We start from the raw sequence: 9,296 nt of genomic DNA, 5'->3' as shown, positions 1-9,296 counted from the left end.
TCAGTTGCTTCTGGTCTCATACTTTCACATCAGGAATCCAGCCATCCATGCTACACCAGCTGTCAGCTCAAGGGCTGCATCAGTCATCAACTATATTAGGATCTTGCTCAAAACTTTTGATTGACTTTTGGCTAAAGGCCACTTTAGAGCTTCCACACAAAGAACAGGTACAAATGTGACATTCAGGATGAGTTCCAGAGTTCAAAACAGAAAAACGACCAGATAAAATGACCACCTTTTTCTGAGCATGAAAAATGTGGCATTTCAGAACCAGCCTTGCAAAAGTAATTACTAGGCATCATTATGCCAACGCTACCATTGTGAAAAAAAAAAAAGTCTTTTTCACAAGCAGGGACAGGTGACTCTGCCATGAGGATAATCTCCCATGACCCGAGAGTCTACCATGCACCTACTGTCACTTCTGACCCCAGACAGATGTTGTCCAAGTGACCTCTCCTGAGAGGAGGATGTCCAGGAACAAAGAAGGGCTGAAGTTAAAAGGGGTTGGCATCCTCTTTCTTATCCTTCCTTGGCCTCTTTCATTCATTTCTCAAAATTCACTTTGATTCACTTTTGAGTGCTGATTACTATATAGCCTCTGAAGACTCTGGTAACTGTCCACATGTGTCACTTGAAGAGGGATCCTGGAATCATTAATGACTTGAGAAGCTTCCAAAAACTACATACATTTTTTTTAAGTCAGCATTCCCTGGTTGAATATATATGTTTCATTTTTTTATATCCCAGTTGAAAAAAATTCCCATGTGGCTGGGCATAATGGCTCATCCCAATAATTCCAGCACTTTGGGAGGCCAAGCCAGGAGGATTGTTTGAGTCCAGGAGTTCAAAACCGGCCTGGGCAACATAGAAAGACTCTGTCTCTATTTTTTTTTTAATCCACGGGTGTGGTGGCTCATGCCTGTAATGCCAGCACTTTGGGAGGCCGAGGCAGGTAGACCACCTGAGCTCAGGAATTCGAGACCAGCCTGGGCAACATGGTGAAACCCCATCTCTACTAAAAAATTAGTTGGGTGTGGTGGTGCGCACCTGTAATCCCAGCTACTGGGGAGGCTGAGACACAAGAATTGCTTGAACCTGGGAGGCAGAAGTTGCAGTGAGCAGAGATCACACCACTGCATTCCAGGCTGAGTGACAGAGTGAGACTCTGTCAAAAAAAAAAAAAAATCCCAACATGTATTTTATGCATATACATAAAAGGTTCCAAATGGACAAGCACAGGATACACTCTGACTATTAACCTTTGGGGATGGGATTGTGAACAGCGGAAGGGACTTCACTTGTTTTGCCTTATAGAAGATTTATTGTTTGAATTTTTAAAGTAATGAGCATTACTTTTATAATTTGGGAGAAAGGAAAGAAAGGAAGGAAAGAAGGAGAGAGGAAGAAAAAAGCAAGTTGAGAGAGAGAAGGAACAGAAAGAAAAAGAGAGAGAGAAAGCAAGCTACCTCCACCCTCCTCCACCCTCTCCCTGAATATGATCCAGAGAATCTCATCTATGTCCCTCATCCTGCAAGAGCAATTGGAGCCCTCATAGGAACACAGAACAGCAGCTGCTCACTTTCTTTGGTACATTATTCATCAAGTATTTATTTTGTTTCGATTTGTCAGAGTCAAAAGAGCTCAAAATAAAAATATGTATGATAACTTTTGGCCATTTTAAGTATCAAAATGATAAACAGTATTTAGGGATACTAGAGGCAAGAGGGAGGCTAAGGGGAAAACGTAAAAGGACCACGCTGGACAAGAAAGAAACAGCAGTTTTAAATAAATAGCAACAAATACCAGTGTGCTTAAAAACCCAGGAGTCTGCTATTAAGCTTTTAACAACCTTGCCCCTAGAGGCTGGGCCAGAAAAGTAGACATAGAAGCCACTGTCTCCTTGATTCCCTTCTTTCCTCCGGAATGCCCACAGCATTGGCCAGCAGCTGTGGACGTGGTTCCTCGAGATCCATCCTCTCAAGACCCACCTCCAAGCTCACCTTCCCCAGAAACCCTCCCCTCTCTGCTCTGCCCTTTCATGACAGCTCTTTTGCATCCCCATGGCTATGTGTTTGACTTTCCAGTTATTTTGCACGTGTTAACCATGTTATTTTGTACTTGTGATCATGTTGCTTGTGTATTTATTCTATTGATCTGAAAAGTCTTTGAGCACAAAGACCTCTAGTGCACCCCTTCACCCCTCTCTGTGTCTAGCTGCTGCCTCGTCCACGGAGGGTGTCCGGTGACCTTCCATCCCCTTCCCACTACCTCTCTATCCTCTTGTCCAATGACATTGCCTAGAAGTCCGGACACCGTGGTTAGCAGATGACCATGCAGGCACGTCTGTCTAATTCCAGCCAAGGGCATGGGGGAAAGGACAGAGCCCAGGGACCTGTGGCCTATTCTCTGAGAGGACGCTGGGCTAATAATAGGAGGGGAGATTAGGGAGGGATTTGACTGCATTGTTATCTCACAGGAATGGCGTTTGAGAGCCTTGCTTCCAAGCTCTTCCAAGAGTCATGCCACCCCCCTCCAATCTCTGTGGAAGTGCCCACTGCCTTTCCCGCTTCGTTCTCTTCTCTCCTTCCATCTGCTCTTCTCTGTCAACCCGTCCATCCTGCTCCCCCTCCCCTGGACCATTCCTCATCCCTTTGCTTTCCACATTCTGGCCTCCGCGTGCACCTATTCTCTCTGCTTCTCCTCCATGTCCCACAAGTCCTTCCCACATGTCCATCCCTGCTCTGGCCTCTTCTGGCTGCTGTCCCTCAACCCCTACCTTCCCAGAACCCTCCCTGTCTTCACTTTCAGGCATCAAATTTGTTTTCCAGGCTTGTGGCCTTTGTCTTCTCTCCCTTAACACCTTGGGGCCACTCCGTGTCTGCCCCTCCACTGTCCCTGGGCCTTGAGCCTTCTCCCAAAGCTGAGCTGGACAAGCACAGGTAACAGAGGCTGAGGTGGGCTGACGGCCTCCACTACCCCAGCAACTAGCAATGAGCCCCGCCAACACCAGGCATTCGAACACCTCTGAGAACAAGACCCAGGACAGGCAGGCTACAGACACCTCCCCACACACAGCCAAGCTATTCTTAGGAACCCAGAATCACAAAAGGGCCGTTCGCTTTGTTCCACACCACCCCCATGGAGCTGCTCTTGGCAGCCAAGGCTGTAATCTCAGAGACAAGGGGCCCAGGCACGGGGAGACCAGGCTGGAGCCTGTGCCCCCTGCCCTGGCTTCTCAGAGCCACAAGGCTCTGCCCTTGGGCAAGGTCATCTCCTCCACCATGCACAGACACACAGCTCTGCACCTTTTCTGCAGTCTTAGCCTCGTCACTCCACTGTCTTTGTTCCCACAGCCGGACCTCAGCTCCCCCAGCCCCGCTACTATGCAATATCTCTGCATATCTCCCCCTCTGCCCCTCTCCCAGCCTCTCCATGGACCCCTTTCCTGACTTTTCCTCACTCCCAGCAAACCAACTACTGTCCCATCTTGCTTCCTTCCCACTCTTCCTGCTTAGAATGGTTCAGCTGTTTTAATCTAGTAAACTCCCAGACCTTTGATAAAGGCCCTTCTTTCCTTGCTACAGGTAGGGAAGCTAAACCTCTGCACTGGTCCCTTCAGACATCCAGGAGCCTGACCAGCTCTCAGCCTCCAATCTGATTCATGGACCCAAGAGGCAGTCTGGCACTGGGACTGCTAGCTGCCCTGGAAAAGTTTCCCTGGAGAAAAGCACCAGCCAGCTCCCCAGGCCCCTCTGTTCCAAATCTGACTTTGTGACTCTCAGACCCAGGGAGGTCACTTACCACCTTCTCCCATGGCTGGAAGAACCTGCATAATGTGTGTATCTGTTGCCTACTTACTCAGTTTCTAACTCTTGTGGAGAACTTTGAGGCATGTATAGCAAAGGACTGGAATTAAGGTTCTGCACTAAAGTGGAATTAAGGTTCTGCTGGGCTTGCACACCCAGCAAGTGCTGCTGCAGTCTCAAATGTCTGCTACAGCACAGAACATCCCAGAAGGGTCAGCATTCCACCATTCTCCTGGAGCACCAGCAAAAGCCCTGCCCTAAGAGACTAGGAAGCTCTCTTGGGGCTGAGTTGTAGGTTGGGCCCAGTAAAGGCACCTGTACCTTCACACCAGGGACATTGTCTTTCTACGTAAAGTAAAAATAGTGAAGCAAAAACAAGCAGAAGACATTGAATTGCTGAGCACTACATATGTTTCCAGATCATTCGCTAGGGCTACTCCCTGCCCTCCAGCCCTACTTTAATCTTTATACGATGGAACTCAGGAGGCTGAGACCCTTCTCCAGCCAGTGAGTGGGCCCAATGATGACAGCCAGGGCTGTATCGAGCTCTGCCTTGAGCTCCCTACGTGCATATCTGAAGATGAGGAGGGAGCCAGCTGAGCCTCATGTTTGCAAGCCCACTTTCTGGTGGTGGGTACCCAAACTCTCTAGGCATTCTCAAAGCACCCCCCAGGCTTCCAAAAAGGGAGATGAGAATAAGAAAACAACCAGAAAGTGCAAAAGAAAATGGTGAACAAAACAAGGGCATCTTTTATTACCCCCTCTTCACATATTCTGGAATACCCTACCTTAAAAACAAAACAAACCGTGCTACTTGGCCCTCTTCCCTTGAGTTGTTGTCTAATCTCATTCATTTCACTGCCAAACTCCTCAAATGCATGGTGTACACCCACTGCTTCCACTTCCTGTCCACTCATCTTTTTCCTCATTAACTCCCTGTGGCCTGGCTTTGCCTGTGACACTACACAAGCTGCTTGCTCCAAGATAATCCAAGTTCTTTTCTCTGTCTTCCTGATACACAGGCTTTCTTTGGCATCTGACACTGCTGGCCACCTGCTCTTCTTGAAATGCTTCTTTTGGCTTCTAGGAAACTGCCCATTTCTCACTCTCCTTAGCTGTCTTTGAATCTCCTTCTCTTCTCTGCGGGCTTCTCTTCCTTCTCCCATCGCTGTACTGTGGGTATCTCCCAGGCCTTTCCTCTTCTCTCCAACCTCATGGCTTCTTTCACATCCCCCGAGGTAGTCAGCCCTCTTTATCCAGTTCTGCCCACTGGTCTCATAGCTCCAGCTTCCTTCAGGAAAGCAAAACATCTTCCATTGGTTGCCCCACTCTTACCTCCATTTCCCCCAAACGGAACACTGTCCTTCCTCCTACGTGTCCCTTTTGCCATTATTCCCATCCTTGCCGACATCGTGCAGTCATGCCTCTCCCTTCCTCATTTCTTGCGTCCAGGCTGTTAGCAAGGCATTTTATTCCTTCTTTAGAAAGGCCTTCCAGCCTTGCCTTTCCGCTTCATGCTGCTGGTCTCGCTTTCCTGCCAACGTTGATGGCTACTGTATCCTCCTCTCGGGTCTCCCTGCCTCCAGCCTCTCTTCCGCAAAGCACCCAATAATACCCCTGCTAGGCCCATCAAACTCTGGTTTCAAGACATCACAATGACTGCCATGGTTTAGAACTTTAGTCATTCCTCATTGCTTCCAGGGTATTATCCATTTTGCTGTCCTGGGAAACAGGGCAGAGTCCGTAGAAAGCCCTTTGAGCAAGACAGACCTGGGTCTGAATCCCAGTGCCACGTTTGCTACTTACCTTGAGCAAACATCTTAGCCTCTCTGAACCCCATTGCTCCTCCATAAAACACAATTAAAGTGACACACAATTGTGAACATGTGTGAGATCATGGTGTATAAAACACTGTGCACCTGGCACAGGTGGTCACTCAATATGTATATAGCCCTTTCCCCTCTCCGACATTGGGGCCCTACCTTTTTTTCCTTCCACCTATGTCTCCAGATCCCCCATACGCATAGCCTCATCAGGCATGTGTCCTCCGAGTCCTTATGAACTCACCACACCGTTCCCCTTCCATGCCTTTGGTCACTCTGTGATTCTCATTGCCCAGAACATATCCTGATACTCAGTGCTTCTTAAAGCCCTCCCCTCACCAAGCTCCACTGTCATGTCCCCATCTTGAAAGCTTATTTTATTTTATTTTATTTTGGGACAGAGTCTCACTCTGTCCAGACTGGAGTGCAGTGGTGCGATCTCAGCTCACTTCAACCTCCGATTCCCAGATTCAAGTGATTCTCATGCTTCAGCGATTCTCATGCCTCCTGAGTAGCTGGGACTACAGGAGTGCACCACCATGCCCGGCTAATTTTTGTATTTTTTGTAGAGACGGGGTTTCACTATGTTGGTCAGGCTAGTCTCAAACTCCTGACCTCAAGTTATCTGCCTGCCTCAGCCTCTCAAACTGCTGTGATTACAGGTGTGAGCCACCAACGCCCAGCCTGCTCCTATCTGGTGGCCTGACCAATGTCACCACTTGGCCTGGGTCAACTCCTGCTGGACCTCAGGACACACTGGCTTGTCATGAGGGAAGCTCAGTGGGCAGCAGTCAAGCAGTGATGCCTATCCCAGCTCAGGGCTGGACTGTGGGCCTAGACTGAGTCTAGGACAGTCTGAGAACCTTGGCCTCCTGGCATGACGTTCCCAAGGGCAGTCACAGTCTGGGTAGAGCCGACCACAAGACTGCAGGATTTCTGATCTACTCTGGTCCAGACCATCCTTTGAACCAAGTGGACTTAGTGGGGCTGAAGGAGGTGTGGGGACAAAGAACCTATGGCAGGGCAACCGGCCCTCCTGTCTGCAGCCTGGCTTCCTCAATTTTGTGTTCCTAACCTAAGAGCTGCCATTCAGTGAGGGCCCACAGTGTGTCTGCTGTGTGTAGACTCTGCTTGTGCAATCTCTAATGGCCTGAGTAGCCCTGGAAACAAAATGTGGCTATCCCCATGTTACAGATGACAAAACTGGCTCAAAGCAATTATATGACTGACGTAGACCACACAGCTAGAAAATGGAATCACTGGGTTTCAAAGTGGATTTTTGTGACTGACTCCAAAGCTGACCAGACTGCTCATCCTGTATGCTTCTGAGGCCTCTGGCCCTCCAGACCGGTCACTCCCCACAAAGTCTCCCTTTTGGTGAGTTGTGTCCCTCCAAACACTCCCTGAAGGCAAGATCAACCTGCCCTAACTACCCCAAAGTGAACTAGGCCAGCCCCAAGCCTGTCTCCGGCCCTCCATCTCTCTCTTTGTTCACATCCATCAGAAAGCAGAGACCTAGAGTAGGGAATGAGAGGGGGTGCACAAGTACAAAAGATTTTGAAGCCAGCAGGAAGACAAAAGAATGACAAGAAGGAGCAGCTGTTTGTAAAGGGAAATCTGAGACAGGCAGAAAGCTCAGCTCCCTAATCCTAGGCTCGTGTGGAGCCAGGGCAGGGTCCCCCCAAGGTCAGGGATTCTGGGGGCAGGCGGATGGGAGAGTCAGCCTCCACTCCTGGGTGGCTCCCCTCTGCCCTGTGCACAAACAACGAGTGCCTCATTCCTCCCCTGCACCAAGTGCCCTGCCTCTTCCTGCCCCGTTTCTTCCTTCCCTTTGGGTACCGGAGCTTTTTTCTGATTCCCCTCTCTCCATGCTGACATCGCTTCTAATTCGCCCTGGTGTCTCCCTCCCTCACAATTACTGGGAGTAATTTTAGCAACTTTTCCTCTGAACTACCGCTGGCGTGTTCACAGCAAATGGCCCCTGTTTTGGCTTGACACTTGATCAGGGTGGTGACAGAGTGCAGACAAAGCCGGCACAATGCGGGGAGGGGAGGACGGGGGACAGATCACCTTCCTTTCACTTCAGGCCTTATTTGGTCTACCTTGCCGAAGCGGCCCTCCTTCCAGCCTCTCTTTATTTATAGCATTTTGCTTTGCTCTCCTTTATCTTGCTATCACTTTGTAGCACACTCTGCACAATCCCCACCCACCCCAGCATGGTGGGGCCCCTGGCCCCTCACTCTCCCCACAAGGAATGTGCATGTGTGCAAAGGGTAGGCCTGGATGCCATTTCTACAAACAGTTGACTAAAGCAGTCCAGAGCAGGGATCTTTCTTTGGGTCATTGTTATGTCCTTATTGACCAGAATAATGCCTGGCACATAGTAGGCACTCAATAAATACTTGTTGAATGGAGGAATCTGCAAAGCTGCTCAGTCTTCAGACAGCAGCAAGCAGCAGGAAGAGAATCATGATGTAACCAAGAGCAGGTGCTGGAGGAGCTAGGGAGTGAGTGGGGATCTTTAAGGACAGCAGGCCCTCTGATCTGTCTGAGCTGTGAGGCAAAGCCTAGTTAGGGAGGTGAGTTCTATCTGCAATGAGAGGGGGCATGGGTGGAGAACAGTAACACCCAAACACCAACAGACCAGAGCCTCCCAAACCCGAAAGGAGAGAAACAAAGTGTGATTGATTTCCCAAATGCAGAAAAGACTACCCAAGTCCCCAGCCAAGGAAGGACGCTGGCCTGTGGTGAAGACACTGGCTTTGAAATGGCTCAACTACGTCCCAAGCACCCTTTGTGCATCTTAATTGCCCTGGGAAATCAGGGAGGGGTGGCAGTTTGGAGCTTGGAAAGCTGGAAGGTGGGGACGAAAGGAGTTTTTGCCCCTCATCGCCAATCCTTGAGGTTCCTACAGGGAACCTCAGACAACAGCTGTCTTAGGGGTTTCCTTCCAGCTCCAAGCAGCTGTATTATCTATAGCTTTGAGAGGGTCTGTCTCTGTCAATGGGGCTGATTCCTCAGCACCTGGCAGGGCCTGGGGGGGACTGCCAGAGTCTGTTCTGCCGGGCATGTTAGTAGCACAGACTACTGGGATAACCTCAGCAACTGTATACCTTAGCACTGCAGAGCTGCGGTGTTGTCAGACACAGCCCTTGCAGTTCGTGGTCTACCCCCACTTGCCTGCACCCCCCTTATAGCTGCTCAATGTCCTCAGACTGTACCTTAGTGCCTTGGTTACCAAGCAACCCCCACAGAGGCCTCCTCCTGGATTTTCCCTTCCCTGCTATGCCCACCCCACCTTCAAAATGTACCTGCTGCACCCATCCCCCAGGCCTGCCTCACTCCTTCCAAGCTGACAGCTAATCAGATGGACTAATCCGCATGCGCGGAAGAGCTGTGCTTGGGAAGAAGGGGGAGATTTCACACCAAATCGTGCAGTGGTTGCCTAGACACGGAGCCAGTCAAGCTTGCATGCCCCGTTGCTAGAAGAGCATGGCATCGGTTGTGTTCTGTGCTCGTAGGCTGGGCCCCAGCTCCCTTTCCTCCCCTCCTTTGTGGCTGTTCCTCAGGCCTGCAGAGGGGAAGATTTTTCCTGTCCTGTTACTCTGCCTCACTTGCCAGAACACTAGTCGCCTCCAGCTCTGGATAAAGCTGAGGCTGGGTGGGC

At 50.0% G+C, this 9,296-nt stretch overlaps 3 annotated features.

The window, feature by feature from the left end:
• Positions 2,308-3,618: an enhancer, noted in NCBI's record as "VISTA enhancer hs2330". NCBI's record gives its function as "enhancer in: heart[11/14]" and the evidence as "EXISTENCE:transgenic organism evidence [ECO:0001131][PMID:17130149]".
• Positions 7,017-8,644: an enhancer, noted in NCBI's record as "VISTA enhancer hs1670". NCBI's record gives its function as "enhancer in: branchial arch[7/9] | heart[9/9] | other[8/9]" and the evidence as "EXISTENCE:transgenic organism evidence [ECO:0001131][PMID:17130149]".
• Positions 7,387-7,887: an enhancer, noted in NCBI's record as "H3K4me1 hESC enhancer chr14:23907344-23907844 (GRCh37/hg19 assembly coordinates)". NCBI's record gives its function as "activates a minimal SCP1, AML or CMV promoter by ChIP-STARR-seq in primed H9 embryonic stem cells {active_cell/tissue: H9 hESC(primed)}" and the evidence as "EXISTENCE:reporter gene assay evidence [ECO:0000049][PMID:30033119]".

The sequence above is a fragment of the Homo sapiens genome, chromosome 14 (genome assembly GCF_000001405.40).
Source record: "Homo sapiens chromosome 14, GRCh38.p14 Primary Assembly".
NCBI classification, from domain to species: Eukaryota; Metazoa; Chordata; class Mammalia; order Primates; family Hominidae; genus Homo; species Homo sapiens.
Note: the sequence above shows the minus strand (reverse complement) of the source record. Positions and strands in the feature narration are given on the sequence as shown.